The sequence below is a fragment of the Homo sapiens genome, chromosome 17 (genome assembly GCF_000001405.40).
Source record: "Homo sapiens chromosome 17, GRCh38.p14 Primary Assembly".
Lineage (NCBI taxonomy): Eukaryota > Metazoa > Chordata > Mammalia > Primates > Hominidae > Homo > Homo sapiens.
Genome location: NC_000017.11, coordinates 72647737 through 72665130, shown reverse-complemented (window position 1 = coordinate 72665130; position 17394 = coordinate 72647737). Strand labels below are relative to the sequence as shown.

Here is a 17394-nt window from a genome sequence, read left to right as displayed (position 1 = left end):
ATATTCTCACAGTATGGCAACTGGCTTCCCCCAGAGCTAGTAGTCCAGAGAGAGAGAAGAGAGAAAGAAGCTACAAGCCTTTTATGATCTGGCCTTGGGAAGGTCCTGTGGCCTTGCCTTCAAAGAGTTGAAGAAATGAGCCACTGATAACTGAGAAGGAATGTTCCAGTGAAAATGCCCCAAGGTAGAAGTAACCAGGCATTCTGGAGGAACAGCAAGGAGACCAGATGGCTGGTGTAGCTGGAGCTAGGAAGAGATCAATAGAAGAAGAAATCAGAAGAGAAGAAGAGAATGGAGGGAGAAAAGAATGGAGAGAAGAGAGAATGGAGAGAAGATAAATCAGAAGAGAAGAAGAGAACGGAGGGCATGAATGTGTAAGTCATTACAGGCCAGCAGGGGATGTGGGCCCTGGCCCTGAGTGGAATGGGGAGCCACTGCAGTGTCTTCAACACAGGAGCAGCATAATCAGACTTAGCAAATTTGCAGAGAATAGAGTTTATAGGGGCAAAGGTGGAAGCAGGGAGACTGGTTAGGAGGCTGTTACTGTAGCCCAGGAAGGACATGATGGAGGCTTGCACCTTAGTATAGCCATGGAAGAGGGGAGAAGTGGCTGGATTCTCATCAGATCTAAAGGTAGATCCCCGCCTCTGGTTTCCCTGGCAAATTGCATATAAGGTGTGACAGAGAGTAGCCAAGAATGGCACCACGGTTTATGGTCTCCTCTTCCCCAAAGCTGCCACTGACCACTTTCCCTCCCTGCCTTCTGCAGTTTTATGTGGAGCAATGAGGTATGGAAGAGGGCTTGGCATCCAGCATCCTTTCCCTCACTGCAGGGACCCACGGCGTGTCCTTCAGTCCATGGCTTACCCTTTGTGGACCTTGGTTACTACATCTACAAAATAGAAAATGGACCTCCTCTGTCATAGAAATAATAACTGTTTATAAAGGCACTTAAAGCTCCTTAGAAGAAAGCACTAAGGATGTGAGGGCAATCTGGCTGTGACATCTGTCACTCCATTGATTGCCAGGGTTGATTCGGCTGATCTGGCTGGCTAGGCGGGTGTCCCTTTCCTCCCTCACCGCTCCATGTGCGTCCCTCCCGAAGCTGTGCACTTGGTTGAAGAGGACGACCATCCCCAATAGAGGAGGACCGGTCTTCGGTCAAGGGTATACAAGTAGCTGCGCTCCCCTGCTAGAACCTCCAAACAAGCTCTCAAGAAGAAAGCACTAAAATTCTGGAAACATTGTTAGTGGTTTGCGATAGTATTTTGAGAGCTGGGGAACTAAATGTTTTGGTTGCATCTCCTCCCCTGATGTGTTTGCTGCAGATGGAGAGGCTGAAGCCCTCCGTGAATAAGAAACTGGAGTGAGAGATGCTTCGCGGGACAGACGTTCATATCCTGAGGCAATACCCCACACGGATGTCCAAACTCATGATCTAAGGAGACTGTCCACATGCCAGGTCCGCAGGAAATGAGACTGAGGCCCTCATCATTCAGACCCCCAGGCGATCCTCTTCTGGGGCCTTGCACTGCTGCCTCAACTATCTATATAAAGTTCAAAATCACATATAACTAGGCTCTGCTGTTAGAAGTGAGGATAGTGATTCTCCTTCAGGAGAGGCCCATGAGGAGCAGGAGCCCAGGATTGAGGGGGTCTCAGGGTGCTGGTGATGTTCCGTTTCTTGATCGGGATGTGGGTTTCATGGGTTTGCTTAGTTTCTGAAACGTTATCCTGTACAACGCAGGCGGATCTGCTCTTTTCTGAACATACATTCAACTGCAGTAAAATATCTTTTTAAAAAGGTAATGGGAAGATACTCTTTTCCCAAAAATATGACTCCTCCCTAGGAACTGAAATCCTACCTTTAGAGAGTTGTCGGTTTCTGCTCAAACGTGTTGTTTGTAAAATTTCAAATATGTTAAGGAGAATTAACAAATTAAACTGCCAATGGGCTAATGGCCATTAAATTAGTAGCTAAGAAGGCATAGCTTGGTTGTGCCTGTTTGGGGACTTTGTGTAAATAGGACTGTACAACACTTACTATTTTGTGTCTAGTTTTTCTCACTCAGAATTGTGTCTGTGACGTGGCTCCAGACTCACACAGAGGTATAAACCTTTCATTCTTATTGCCACACAGTATTCCATTGTGTGAATAGAACACAAGGAATAAAATGAGTTTATTTTACTCATTCTGTTGTAGAGGGGCACTTGCATGGTTTCCAGTTTATGACTATTATTGATAGCACTGCCATGAATAACAGCACTCCCAGGATGTGTGTGCCTGTCTTTCTTTCTCTCTTTCTCTTTCTTTCTCTCTTTCTTCTCTTTCTTCCCTCCTTCCTTCCTTCCTTTCTTTTCTTTTCCTTCCTTTCCTTCCTTTTTTTCTTTTTTCTTTCTCTCTCTCTCTTTCTTCTCTTTCTTCCCTCCTTCCTTTTCTTTTTCTTTTCCTTCTTTTCCTTCCTTTTTCTTTTCTTTTTTCTTTTTCTTTCTCTCTTTCTTCTCTTTCTTCTCTCCTTCCTTCCTTCCTTTTCTTTCCTTTTCCTTCCTTTCTTTCCTTTTTCTTTTCTTTTCTTTTTTCTTTTCTTTCTTTCTCTCTTTCTTTCTCTTTCTTCTCTTTCTTCCCTCCTTCCTTCCTTTTCTTTCTTTTCTTTTCCTTCCTTTCCTTCCTTTTTCTTTTTTTTCTTTTCTTTCTTTTTCTTTCTTTCTCTTTCTTTTTCTTTCTTCCCTCCTTCTTTCCTTTTCTTTCTTTTCTTTTCCTTCCCTTCCTTTTCTTTCTTTTCTCTCTCTCCCTCTCTCTTTCTTTCTTTCCTCTTTTCTTTCTTCCTTTCCTCTTTTCTTTCTTCCTTTCTTTTCTTTCTAAAAAAAGGCCTCATTCTGTTGGCCAGTCCAGGCTGGACTGCCATGGCTCCATCATAGTACTACAGCCTCAAACTCCTGGGCTCAGGCAGTCCTCCCACCCATCTCCTGAGTTGCTGGGATTACAGGCGCGAACCACTGCGCCCAGTTTAAGATGTGTCTTTTGATGGCTACAGAGGCACATTGCTCTCAGATGTGTGCCCCCACCACATTGTATGAGGCAGCCTCATACTTGGCTAGCCCATAGGATTGGTTTGCTTTGCTGGGACACTTAGCAGGTGAAGGTCTTCAGAGCATTCCTCTGGGAGTCAGTGATCCCATAGAAATGTGGGCGGTTTGTCTACACTTCTGCAGGGAGAAGTGCACAGTGGTGGCCTGAATCACCCTCAGCCACCACCCTGCCTTCCGGCTGACTTCCTTGGGCTCTTCCTCACCCCCTCGAAGGAAGGCAGCAGACTGTAAGGGAATGGATGGGTCATCTCATCTCGCCAGCCTGCACCAAGAAGTTTCCGAGAACTGCACCAAGAGGGTGGGGGAAGATCCCTTGCGTGCTAAGCCAGCTCCTCTGAGCAGGTAGGGCCGGGCAGCCCTGCGGGGAGTACCCAGCCCCTTCCCACCTGCAGGCTCATCAAACACCTCGACAGGCTGCCCTAGTGGGAAGCCGGTGATGTCATCTCCAGGCCTGAACAATCAGGCCTTTCACGGCAAGATGATAACAATCAAAACAGTATGTAAGGGCCTGCCACACAAGAACACACACGCTCATCGCACATGGGAGGATCTGAAAGCCGGGGTGAAGCAGGGCTTGTCAGGGATATGCCATTCTCCTTTCATAATCAACCGGCCAGGGAATATAGCCTGGAGAGCAAGGCTGCAGGTTGCCGTCCCTTCGCTTGCCAATTCTCAGAGAAACCCATGACTCTCTCCACTACCTCTCCTGAGAGCGTGCACCTCGAACCCCAGAACTACACCCCAGGCTGAGCAGCAATCTGCGCTCAAGCAGGAGTGTCCCACTGCACAACTCCAGGGGGCGCCATGGTCAGAGAACACAAGGTGAAAAGTACCCCTGGAATTGTGCAACAGTGAGCTTTGAGAGTGACCACTGGCTTTGGACTAAGGGAGCTGAGGCCTGGTGGTTCTCAAAGGTGGTTGCTCAGCCCCAAATCTGTCGTGCCATAGCTAAGTTCCCTAGAAGCCTGCACTCCACTGAGGCTAGAAATTCTCAAATGAGATGCGTGAGATCAGGTGTTCTCCACACTCAGTCTGAGCAGTTTTTGTCGTCCAGCTATTTGCTAAGGAAGCAAGCTCATCTAACATGTTTACTCAAGGTCAGTGGGTCTCAATCAGGGTTGGTCCCCTCCCCCTCCCCGGAGACATTTGGCCATGTCTGGAGACGTTTTGGTTGTCACAGCTGAGAGGTTGTTGCTGGCATCTAGCAGATAGGAGCCGAGGATGCTGGTAAGCATCCTACACTGCACAGAACCAGGCCCCCACAACAAGGAACTCACGGTGTGAAATGTCAGTAGTGGTGAGGTTGAGAAATCCCGCTGTGGATGGCACGTTCCACTCCATTAAACCCTGCAGGTCTCTGGCTCGAAACCCCCTGAGTCTGGCCTGCCCTCCCTGTTGACCAGAAGAGGCCAGAACCTCAGCTCACTAGCCAAGTGGGTGTCGGGCAGCGTCCGCCCCTATCTCCATATGGTTCGATGGGTCTGCATGAGGCCCAGAAAACCCGGTATGTGTACACAGTAGCAGTTAGGAGGCCCTGCTCTGTCACTTCCCAGCTCCACAACCTTCAGGGCCAGTTATTTAACTCCTTGAGCATCAATTTCTCCATCTGTAAAATGGGAATAATGGTGAAAGCTGCTCATGAGGTGGTTGAGGGGCAAGGCATGTTGTTACATGTAATATGCTTACAAGCACGCCCAGCACGTAGTAATACTCAATAAATAACAGCAGTGGTTATCGTCATTTTTATTCTAGCCGGAGGACCTCGGGCTGCCTCTGATGGGTGCGGTAATGAAAGACTTGAGCTGGTTTCAACCGCAGGCGGTTGCAGTGGGGTCTCCAGTGCTGTGCACAGCTCCTGGCACATGCTCTGTGCTGCTGCTGACACGAGCTGGAAGCATTTCCCAAGCTCAAGGCCTGAGACATTGAGGTTTGAGTGGAGATGGCTAATAAATGAATTTCAAGGGAACACCCCTGAGTAACTCACTCAGCACAGGCATCTGCCTCCCAAAGATAGTATAGGGACCCCTGGGGTGGTACTTCGCACTCCGGCCTTGGAAAACACCTGAGGTATGGCTGGGGTGTTTAACACTCAGGTTTTCCCTAAAAATCCAGCAGGTTCAGCTAAGAAAGAATCACAGAGGGCCAGCCATGGTGGCTCAAGCCTGTAATCCCAACACTTTGGGAGCCTGAGGCGGGCAGATTGCCTAAGGTCAGGAGTTTGAGACCAGCCTGGCCAACATGGTCAAACCCTGTCTCTACTAAAAATACAAAAAAATAAAATAAAATAAAAATTAGCCAGGCATGGTGGTAGGTGCCTGTAATCCCAGCTATTTGGGAGGCTGAGGCAGGAGAATTGCTTGAACCCGGGAGGCAGAGGTTGCAGTGACCCAAGATCGCGCCACTGCACTTCAGCCTGGGCAACAGAGCAAGACTCTGTCTCCAAAAAAAAAAAAAAAAAAAAAAAAAGAGTCACAGAGGACACGTGTAAGAGAGATAGGCCTTGGCTCGAATGCATGTTTTATTTTTGTTTGTATGTTGGCTTGGACTTGGAGAAGGGGAGAGAAAGGAAGACCTAGCTCACCCCGCCAGATCATCTCACATCTTTGCTTTCTCTGTTCCTTCTTTCTGGATGAAATGCATTTCCCCATCTTTATCTATTAAAATTGTCCCCATCCTTCACAGTCCATCTTGGATGTTGCTTTCTCCACAAAGGTTTCCTGGATCATCTGTCTCCGCCAAAATCATCCTCGCCCCTAATGCTCTGTGCTAGATCTTATGGCCTTTAGCAAGTCCCGTGCTGTGCTGGAGTCATTTGCAGGCAGGTCTTTTGCTGTGTATCAGATTATAAGTTCCTTGAAGACAGGGACCTTCCAAATGTCTTTCTTCATATGTGGCATGAGCTCTTGCACATGGCCAGGGCTTAGCGGTTGACTCTGGAGTGACTCCTGAGAAGAGGCTTCCAGGTGGCCAAGTTGCCACTGCAGGACATGGTTCTGCCCAGGAGGTCGTATAATTGAGAAGGCTAAGGCACACCCTTTGTAGAAGAAATTGGTGTGTGGCTGGGAGGTCACCAGTCTGGGGGGAATAGGAGGCTTCAGTGCCCAGCTCATCACCGCCTCATTCAGCAGCCTCGGGCAGTTTTAACAGTGGCTGCTATTTAAAGAGCACCCACTCTGGGCTCCGAGATAAGCCTGGCACTTCACAGTGATCATTTGCCATCCACACAAGAGCCCTGTCGGTGGGGGAGTTTTATGCCCATTTTTCAGTTAAAGGAAAGGCTGAGTGATCTGTAGCTTGCACTGGGTCCCACCTGTGCACCTGGGGTCCCACCCAGATGTGTTTGACTCATATGTTTGACTGGCACTACACATCACAGGGCCTCCAAAGGCATTGTACTTGTCTGCATCTCCTTTTTCTACCTTAACAATCTTAACAATCAAGGCATTGAGCCAGGCGACCTCCAAGGGCCCTAACTTTTAACATGGGTGATGGGTGGGGGGTAGTAGGAGGAGGATGCTGGAGAAGAGAAGTCAGCCCCTGGGGCGAAACAGGGTCAGGCCTCTAAGAAAAAGCAGAAACAACTGCCCACCGGGGATGCCTTTCTTCCTGTTGCCCACTGCTTGGGATTAGTGTTCCCTGAAGATACGAGGAGGGAGGCCCTTCTTACCTAGCACCCGGATGGGACCCTGGCCATTGGCCCTCAGCCTCTACCAGGTTGGAAGAGCAAAGGATGAGAGACCTCTGGAAAAGTACCTCAGACTGTCCGCCTCTGCCCCTGCATCCAGCCCACGGAGAGGCCAAGCCCATGAATGGGCACCTTTCCCCCGCCTACACTCCCTTGGCACCCCTTGTGGGCCCAGCCCCCCTCCATCTTCTAGGATTCATTATTTGTGCTCAGGCCCAGCGCCTTCCCCACTTCCTTACAGGTCACCTCTGGGGGTTTCCTAAGCAGCCTGAATTGTTTCTTTATGTCCCTACCCAAGAAAGCAAAGTGTCTGCTGCTGTCCCTACAGGGAGGCCATCCCTTCTGCTTCTGCCGTGCCTGCCCAGTTCCTGGATGCCACTCAGGGCTGGGCTGGAGACAGCAGCCCGCAAGGACCCACCCAGCATCAATGGGGCTGGTGAGGGTTTCAGGGAAGCTGGCTCTCTAGAGGGCAGTAGATCCAAGGGGCTAAAAGCGGTCAAAATTTGCATCAGACCATTGCGAGTTTTAGGTAGGGCTTTTTACTTTTTCAAACATCTGCTTAGCTTGTAGGATTCTGTATATATCCCCTGTGGAAAATTAAAATTCTTACCCTAGCTTGCCTCTGCCACCTACCCTGTTTCTGACTACTTCTGAGGGTGACCAACTCACATCAGTTATCTGGGGACTGTGCCAGGTTTAGCACTGAGTAAGTCCTATATCCTGGGAAACCCCTCAGTCCCTGGTGAACCGGAATGGTTGGGCACCCTAGTTCCTGTCCCAAAAGGGACACTGTATTCAGGGAATTCTGACCTCTTAACATATTGGCCTGTACATTCTAATGAGGTAAACCATTGCTACTCACTCCTGCCCAAAGTCAGGGCAGTCAAGTGATCTTCTGTAGTCTTCCTTCTTGCCATTCTCTCTTCCATCTCTGCTCCTCCTTGATGTTTATTTTTATTTATTTATTTATCTTTTGTTTGTTTGTTTGTTTGTTTTGAGGCAGAATCTCACTCTGTTGCCCAGCCTGGAGTGCGGTGGCGCTATCTCGGCTCACTGTAACCTCTGCCTCCCGGGTTCAAGCGATTCTCATGCCTCAGCTCCCCTGGTAGCTGGGATTACGGGCACCCACCACCATGCCTGGCTAATTTTTGTATTTTTAGTAAAGACGGAGTTTCACCGTGTTGACCAGGCTGGTCTTGAACTCCTGACCTCATGATCTGCCCACCTCTGCCTCCCAAAGTGTTGGGATTACAGGCGTGAGCCACCGTGCCTGGCCTATTTATTTATTTTTTTGAGGAATGATTTTGAAATATGCCTGATAATTGTGTTCTTTGCTGTTCTTCTTTTTTCTCTTTTTTATTTATTTTTATTTATTATATACAGACAGGGTCTTGCTATGTTGCCCAGGCTGGTCAAACTCCTGGCCTCAAGCAGTCCTCCTGCCTCAGCCTCCCAAAGTGCCGGGATTACAGGTGTGAGCCACCATGCCCGGCCTTCGATGTTTAAAAAAAATAATAAAAATAAACATATAATAGGAAATGAACTTTAAAAATAAACCCTGATTCCCCCAATGCTGGATGGGACCCCCCTTCCTCGCGGTTCTCTGGTTTTGTCCCTTCCTAGCAAATTCTGATTCCTAAGGAAAAGGAAAAGAGAAGTCTGGATGCCCTGAGGCAAACTCTGCCTCCATGAGGCAGCCCCTGCAGACAGACCTCCCCGGGAGAGGCCTGTCAGGGCTGCTCTTGTCCTTGCTGGTGCAGCCCAACCCCAGGAGTCATCCTCCTCCCCAATGACTCCCTGCCCTGTCGACCCTCCCTTCCCGCCTCCCCCGTCTCCTTCCCTTTCCACGCTCCCTCTCTCCTCTCCTGTCCCACTCTACACACGGATGCCCCTCTCCTGGCCCTTCTCGAGAGATCTCTGCCTTGTTGCTCTCAGTCAGGCTCCGGTGACAGGTTGCCATGGGACTTGGCTTGTCACGGAAGGGACAAGGGACCTTGTCAGGGGACAGCCTGCGGTTTCTTTTCTAAAAGAGCCCTTCATCTCCACTTCCCTCTCCTTCCCATTAATGTGTCGTGGTCCAGACTAGTAATAGTGTCTTTGTGCTACTGCTGGGGAGGAACAGAACCCAGAAGACAGCAGCTTCACTGTCTTCAGAAGGGCATGGGTTTGTATTTTCCCCGTGGCTTTTGAATGCTGTTTTGAATTTTCATGGCCCATCCTGGAAAGGAAACCTCTCATCTGACCTTTCCCTTCCCAGAGCGTAAAGGAGGGAGGGAATGGCCCACCAACCCCACCTGCCCAGGATCGTCAGCTCAGAGTGTTTAGTTAGACTGAAGGCCTTGCAGGAATGCACAGCAGGGCTGCAGGAGGGGAGCTGGTGAGCCTGGGGCATCCTCCACGCCACCAGCCCCCCGGGAGGCTGCCCTTGTTCTTCTTCACAGTTTCCCATCCTCCAGCCAGTCTAGGCCCCACAGCTCCTAAGTCAGCTCACGGCTCACCCCCTACCACTGAGAGACTATCCCTGCCACGGGGTCCTCAATATTCTCTGTCACTTCTGTTATGCATCCATATCCCCGAATACCACCTGCTTTGCTGCTCCTGCCCTCAGTTGCTCCAGATCTCCTCCAAAGCTCCCCAGATCAGATCTTGTATATAGTAAGCACCCCGGTTGCAGGCTCCTGATGCATTCAGTAGTGGCCACAGGTGTCCTCGGCTCCCAGACTGTGTTGGGAATTCGAATAGCAGGGAAGGGGCTCCTGGGAGGGAGGCGGGCTTGGCCTCCATCCTCATCCTCACCTCCTCTGACACCTGCTTAGGCCAGTGGCTCTCAACGCCCTCGCACACTCTTAAAATCTGCACACAGGGGGCCCAATGCCACGGCAATAAACCGAGATCTCCAGGGCAGGGCCGAGGCATCGGCATTTGCCGGTGCTCCCTGTGACTGGCATGTGTCGTCAGGTCTGAGAGCCGTGGATTCAAATCCCACTCTGGAGCTGATGCAGGTGATTGAAGAAGAGGAGAGGGCTGGAAGGGACTGTGTCCTCCACTGGGCCACCCCCACCAGTGGGCCTCTGACCAATGCCCAACAAGCAGCGGGGCGAGGGAACTTGGATGGGCCTGTGCGTGTGCACGGGTGTGTGGAGGAGAGCCCAGTTAGGCAGTGTTGTGCATGACAGGTAGGAAAGGCAGAGAAACTGTGGTGCCAGCCCCTGCTGGGGAGCAAAGGAGCCCAGGAGTGTCAGGAGGGACTCTGACCGCCCAGCAATGCAATGCCCTGCTGAGAAAGGCCTGGCAGGATCCAGAGGGCATGGCAGCTGTTTGGGCTGGCAGCCCCGTGCCAGGGCTGGGGCAAGGCAGAGGTAACGAGGCTTGCCAGGGATGGAAGAATGGGGTTTCTGTGCTGCTTATCAGGATGGTGGCTCCCAGACAGGATGTGGAGGAGGCTCCCACAGCCCGCCGGGCGATGGCTGTAGTCAGCGCTATGTCACGGCGAGGACTTTGGATGGGGAGCCCCACCTCTGATTTGTCAGTGACATTGGGCTGGTCACTCTGCGGCTACCTTCGTGTGCCTGCCTGTGAATATGAGGTGCAGGCAATGGCAGCGGACTGAGAGCCAGCCACCAAGTGCCTGGCAAAGCCCAAGATATCAGAAGCCTTGGCCTTCCTCATTGGAAAGAAACCTTGCACTTCGGACTTTGCAAAAGGTCAAGGAAGCTGGTTGTATTCACTCAACCATTTTGAGGGCTACAAGGAGATGCTGAACAAAGTCGCAGGGAAGGGGCCCCCCTGAGGGTCTATCTGGGAAGGCGGGGCAGGGGCTTATGAAATATTGGCAAGAATTTATCCTTAAGAATTTGTCCTCAACATAAATATATTCACATGTCTCCAACTCCTGGAATAGGAGCTCAGGGTCAGCTTGCACATGAAATTGGTAGCAGAAGCTGCGAGAACAGGCCGCATTTCTGCCCAGGGCTGGTTAGAACACGCTTGTCAGCATCCTATAACTGAAGCAACGTTCAACAGTGTCTTCCAAAGCTAGCTTTCGAGTCCTAGGCCTGGGGCCCCAGAGGGAAGAAGTGAGGCCATTAACTCCGATCCTATACCCAATGCCAGAAGCGGCACCCATCACCCTCCCTGGCAGAGCAGCAGAAGAGGGGAGCCTAGGACCTTTCAAGGTGAGGAAGAGAGCTCCTGACCCTTTTGTCCTGCCCCTATAGACTGGCTAGGAAGACATGTTAGGGACCCAGAAAATAAGGAAAAGCAAGATGGCTAAGCAGGGCCACCCGCTCACTCCCCATGCCCCACCCTTCCGCACACACACGCACATTTTAAACACAAGGGACCAGAATGACACCTTTTTCCTAAACATCTGTAGCTAGATTTCCTTTTTCATCCTGTCTCATTTCTCCAAATCCTTCTCTCCTGTTGAACTAGGACAGATCAAGACTATGTGGAGGATATGTAAGCTACAGTTGACTTCCTGCCCAGGGCCTCACCTCCTAGAAGCACTTCTCAGGGAAGTGTAAAACTGTCCCCAGCTGCCCAGGACAAAATCTTCAGAGGTGACCCCCAGGGCTCAATTATCCAATGGAGCTTTCCATACTTTAAAGTGCAGCAGGCCGGGTGAGGTGACTCACACCTGTAATCCCGCACTTTGGGAGGCCGAGTCGAGCAGATTACCTGAGGTCAGGAGTTCGAGACCACCCTGGCCAACATGGTAAAACCCCATCTCTACTAAAAATACAAAAATTAGCTGGGCGTGGTGGTGGGCACTTGTAATCCCAGCTACTGGGGAGGCTGAGGCAGGAGAATCGCTTGAACCCATGAGGCGGAGGTTGCAGTGAGCTGAGATCACGCCACTGCACCACTTCAGCCTGGGTGACAGAGCGAGACTCCTTCTCAAAAAAAAAAAAAGAAAAGAAAAGAAAAGAAAAACCAAAACAAAAAAAAAGGGTGCAGTGGCTCATACCTGTAATCCCAGCACTTTTCAAGGCTGAGGCAGGTGGATCATCTGAGGTCAGGAGTTTGAGACCAGCCTGGCTAATATTCTGAAACCCTGTCTCTGCTAAAAATACAAAAAAAAAATAGGGGGGTGTGGTGGCACATGCCTGTAATCCCAGCTACTCGGGAGGCTGAAGCAGGAGAATCGCTTGAACCCCAGAGGTGAAGGCTGCAGTGAGCTGAGATCGTGCCAGTGCACTCTAGCCTGGATGACAGAGCGAGACTCCATCTCAAAAAAAAAAAAGAAAAAAAAAGCGTGCAACAGAAGAGTCAAGCCCACCAGGCTCATCAGAATGCCCCCTACTCCCTTCCAGCAGCTCTCCCCTCCTCTGTGCCCAGGGAAGCGTCCAGCCTCCAGACATTTACTGGGGCTCAGGGGGGTCTGGAGGTGATAGAAGGAATTCTTCTATATGTGCCAGCCTAGGAGAAGCAAGAATCCACATCTCCCGGGAGTTTCTGTACAACCCAAACAGACCAAGCAGTATATAGGAACACAGTATCTGAAATGCCTTCAGGTTGCACAGTGGTTCTCACCAAAATCTTACAAGTGATGTAAAAATCTCACACAAGTGTCAACAAGAGCAAATGAGTGAGTGCCGATGGAAACTCAAGCATAGATGAGCCATAAGCAAAACAGCCAAGCCAGGTCTCTTTGAAACAGAGCTTTGCAGAGGAATGAGTTTTGGCTTTAGGGTAGAAAATCTTAGTCTCTCTTGGAAAGAGGACGCATGAGTTCTTGGAAAAGCTTTAAGTCCCTGTCTCTGTTATTTCACGCTGCAACCTCAGTGATAACACTCACCCTCACCCCAGGACAGGCATTGATTACGTGCTTACTGCATACTAGCTCCCGTGTGCTAAGGGCTTGAGAGGGACCATCCCAGGTAATCATATCAGCAACGCTGTGAAGTGAGGGTGGGTATTGTTCTTCAAATTCTGCAGTTGGAGAAATGGAAAGTAGCACAGCTAACAAAGCACAGACCCAGGATTTGGACAGAAGAAGTCAGACTGCAAAGCCCAAACTTCAACTACCACATGCATGGCCATGAGAACATAAGAAGAGATAGGGTCTGCAATGCCCAGGGTCTGTGGTTTCATCTTGCCAGATCTTTCTGCAGCCACTGAGCTATCAGGGCAGGGGTCAGCAAACTGCAGCCCATGGGCCAAATCTGGCCCCCCACTCATTTGTGTAGATAAAGTTTTATTGGAACACAGCCACACTCAATGGTTTATGTACTGTCCATAGCCACTTTTGCACCTGCAATGTCAGAGTTGAGTGGTTGCAACAGAGACTCAGTGGACTGCAAAACCTCAAATATTTACTATCTGGCCCATGACAGAAAAAGTTTGCTGCCCCCTAGATCCAGGGATGAAGTTGGAGCATGTTTGAGCCCCTCTCTAAGGAGTCAAAGGAGAGCACAAACTTGGGTGATATAGACAGGGATTTGGGTAGACTCGTGGGAAATGCTGAGTGATGCAGCTTTTGTGGACATGTCCTGGGCTGGTGTGGTGGGGTGTCTTCTTGTCTGTCCACTCCACTTCATGAACAGTTCTGCCTGCAGGTTGGAGAGACAGGCTCAATGCTTCTGTCAGTCCCAAGAGACCATAATATTTCCTTTATTAAGGAACTGATCAGTTTTCGGATGCTATCACTTTTCAGATGCCCCCTGGGGAAGCTGCTTTGTCCCTCTTCACAGTTTCCCACCCCCAGCCAGTCTAGGCCCCACAGCTCCTAAGTCAGCTCAGGGCTTCTTCCCCCAACCCCACCCTAGGGGGACCATCCCTGCCACGGGGTGCTCACTATTCTCCATCACTTCTGTTACATATCCATGTCCCCTAATGCCACCTGTTTTGTTACTCCTGTCCTGTGTTGCTCCGGATCTCCTCCAGAGCTCTCCACATCAGATCTTGTATACAGTAAGCACCCTGGGCTGCAGGCTCCTGATGCATTCAGTAGTGGCCACAGGTGTCCTCGGCTCCCAGCCTGTGTTGGGAATTGGGATAGCAGGGAAGGGGCTCCTGGGAGGGGGGTGGGCTTGACTGCTTTCCTCATCCTCACCTCCCATGATGCCTGCTTAGGCCAGTGGCTCTCAACGCTGTTGCACACAGGGGCAGATTTTAAGCTGATGGGTAGATGCTGAGGGGCTCATTGTAATCTTGTCAAAAAGGGATGGGCACTAATTCTATGAACCACATGTGAGCTAAGTGGTGACAGGTATGAGATTCTGTTAGGGCTGGACTTTTCCTAAGAGTCTACTTGACTGGCAGACTCGAGGTGGGGGCTACTTCTTCCTGAGGTATCTGGAACTACGAACCTCAATGAAACATGTGCAGGAGTTGGGGGATAAAGGTAAAAAAAACAGGGTAAAGGCCAAACCCTGAAACAAAATGGAGGTCAGATGCTAAACTGGGGATTCGCCTTGGTGTTCTTTGTTAGAGGCTGGAACTTGGGCCTCAGCCGGATCAGGCCTGACAGGACCTTCAGGGCCACGAGTGTGTCCCAGTCCCGGGAGCCTGGGGCAGGTCATAGGCAGGGGTCCCAGCTACCAGTCTACAACACTCCCTTGCAGCAATGGGTAGATTCCTATTGGCAGCAAGATGGATGGACGTGAGCCAGTTGACCTGAAAGTCGGTGATGGTGGAGTTTCTCTTCTCTATCTAATCTACCCACAATTCCCTCGGGCCACACACCAGCATTGCTTGCCGAGTGGCACCCTCTTCTCACGCCCTTTAGATCATTGTTGATCAGATGGCCCTTCATGGAGGGGCTGCTTCTTGGAACTGTCCGGCCAAGGTAGAGTCTCACGTGCAAAAGGGCCTTCCTAAGGCACTCGGACTGGCCCCATTTCCCTCCTCTGCTTCCCTCATGCCTCTGTTTCCTGTGCAAGTTGACTTTTGGCTGATTTGCTGTAGTTTGCAGCATCCACAATAAGGGTTCTTCATGTACATGCCTGTGTTGTCTCCATGGCTAAATACTAAGCCCCCTGAGGCCAGGCATGTGGTCACAGATTGCATTTGTACGCATCCCATTTTGCTTCTCCCTCCTCTCACACTCCAATGCCTGGTTTGTGCAGAAAGCAGCTTCTCAAAGACAGGCATCTATCAGCACAGCCTGTCACTGTCCTGCAGAGGCAGGAGGTGAGAGGATCACTGTGAGCACCACTGGGGCCCAAAGAAATGCAGCGATGGTGCCAGACCTGCAGAGCCCACGGAGAAGCTGAGCCCAGAGCCAGATCTGTGGCACCATCAGCGTCTGCAGCTGCACTTCCTTGTCCCATTTCTGAAGTGGCCTCTGAATAAAATGTGATATACTCATTTCTGTGCTGTAACAGAATAGAAACCAAAATGCATTAAGCACCTCTCTATGCTAGGATGTGATAGGCATTATTGGGTCACTGGGTCACTCAGCAATCCTTTATGGTAGATATTGTTGTCCCTAAATTGTATACAAGAAACAGAGGTGTAGGCTGGGTGCCGTGGCTCACGCCCATAATCCCAGCACTTTGGGAGGCCAAGGCAGGCAGATCACTTGAGGTCAGGAGTTGGAGACCAGCCTGGCCAACATGGTAAAACCCCATCTCTACTAAAAATACAAAAATTAGCTGGAAATCACTTGAACCCGGGAGGTGGAGGTTGCAGTGAGCCGAGATCATGCCACTGCACTCCAGCCTGGAGTCTCCAGAGCGAGACTCCATCTCAAAAAAAAAAAAAAAGAAAAAGAAAAAAAGAAAAAGAAACAGAGGCGTAGAAAGTAAAATGAAAAGTGCAGTTATACAGCCACGTGGCAGAACTCAGGGCACCCTGAGAGCCAGCCAGTGTGTTCTGTGCTGTAGCAAAGCATTGTAAGGACAGAGCCTGCCCAGGACCCAGGACAGCATGATGGGTAGAGGGCTCACGTCACTCCCTCCTGCAGCCCCTGCTCTTTACCTAGACACACGTCCTGACCTTTCTCCTTCCTCTCCTACTGCAGGTCACAGGTCTCCTCCTGGCTTCCTAGCACCCACGGAGGTCTTGGCCTCGGCCAGGGACTCCCATTGTGTGAGCACCTATTCCAGACAGCAGCCTTCATGTGCTTTCTTGGTTTTTCAGGAATTTGGCCATTGGAATCGGGATCCAGAATTTCCCCGAGGGCCTGGCTGTCAGCCTTCCCTTGCGAGGGGCAGGCTTCTCCACCTGGAGAGCTTTCTGGTGAGTGCTGCCCAAGGGCAAGGCCATGTCACAGCATCCTCCATGTGGGCTTCTTTCAACAAAACAGTGATGTGCTTTTGCACTGCCATGCTCAGATATGACGTAGAATGGCATGCATCCATGTGCTAGGGTTGAGCCAACAGTCTGGGCACGTGGAGTGTCTGCTTGCCTCCCCCTGCGGTGGTAAATGTCTCTGTTCTCTCCTTAGGTATGGGCAGCTGAGCGGCATGGTGGAGCCCCTGGCCGGGGTCTTTGGTGCCTTTGCCGTGGTGCTGGCTGAGCCCATCCTGCCCTACGCTCTGGCCTTTGCTGCCGGTGCCATGGTCTACGTGGTCATGGACGACATCATCCCCGAAGCCCAGATCAGGTTGGAGAACCTTCCCTCCCTGTCTGTCCCTGTCCCAGTCCCAGCTGGGACCCCAGCCTTGGGATATGCTCTTTCTTCATTTGCCTTTCCTTTCCTTATTCCCTCCCCCTCTCTGCCCCTTCCCAAGATCATCCCCACTGCCTCCTCAACTGTGCTCTCTGAAACTAAAAGAAAAGAAGCTAAGGGCATGTGGGTCAAGAAATGAGGTGACACCAGGCAGTGGCATACACACCTGCCCCCCGTCCCTTGATGCAGTAGACTATCGTTTTTGTATATTCTCTCTCATCCTGTCTCTCGATTCTCGGGCTGGAATGAAGGGAGAGGTGAGCTCTAAAATGTCAGTGAAGGTGATACATGCATGTCTTCACTGGCTAGCTATAGGCCAGGTGTCAGAAGGTGGGAGTAAGGGTTTGCTTTGTTCCATTTTGTTGTTGTTTTGTTTTGTTTTGTTTTTCTTTTTTTTTTTTTTTTTAATGGCAGAGTCTCGCTCTGTCACCCAGGCTGGAGTGCAGTGGTGTGATCTCGGCTCACTGCAACCTCCGCCCCCCAGGTTCAAGTGATTCTCATGCCTCAGCCTCCCAAGTAGCTGGGACTACAGGCAACCACCACTACGCCCAGCTAATTTTTGTATTTATAGTAGAGACGGGGTTTCGCCATGTTAGCCAGGCTGGTCTCAAACTCCTGACCTCAGGTGATCTGCCTGCCTCGGCCTCTCAAAGTGCTGGGATTACAGGCTTGAGCCACTGCTCCCAGCCTATTTTGGTTTTTATAGAAGAATAACTCTGAGGCTAGTTTAAAAGGCCAGATTAAGTAATATCTTTAAGAAATAATCACCCCTCTTCATTACTCACACATGGACCACAGAACGATCATAGGTGACCTTGGGCAAGTAACTTCTCTTTGCCTCAGTTTCCCCACCAGTAAAATGAGGATAATTATGATACTGACCTCATGAGGTTGTTGTTTGGGGTTCCATGGTTCATTAGTTTGCCTGGCACATAGTAAGCCCCAGTAAATGTTACCATTATTAATGGTAGTGTGCTTTCTCTTGGAATTGGACATTGCA

General features: G+C 50.4%; 1 protein-coding gene and 1 pseudogene across 15 annotated transcripts in view; both read left to right on the top strand.

Moving 5' to 3' along the window:
• The window catches only part of SLC39A11 (solute carrier family 39 member 11), a 446740-nt gene that overhangs the window by 427558 nt on the left and 1788 nt on the right, over nucleotides 1–17394 (top strand). For all 15 annotated transcript variants that reach the window (XM_017024335.2, NM_139177.4, XM_006721757.3 and 12 more), the window contains 2 exons: nucleotides 15863–15961; nucleotides 16170–16328. In XM_017024335.2, the coding sequence (XP_016879824.1) occupies nucleotides 15863–15961; nucleotides 16170–16328 (258 nt within the window). The remainder of the gene's footprint in view (nucleotides 1–15862; nucleotides 15962–16169; nucleotides 16329–17394) is intronic.
• On the top strand, nucleotides 979–1218 carry RN7SKP180 (RN7SK pseudogene 180; annotated as a pseudogene).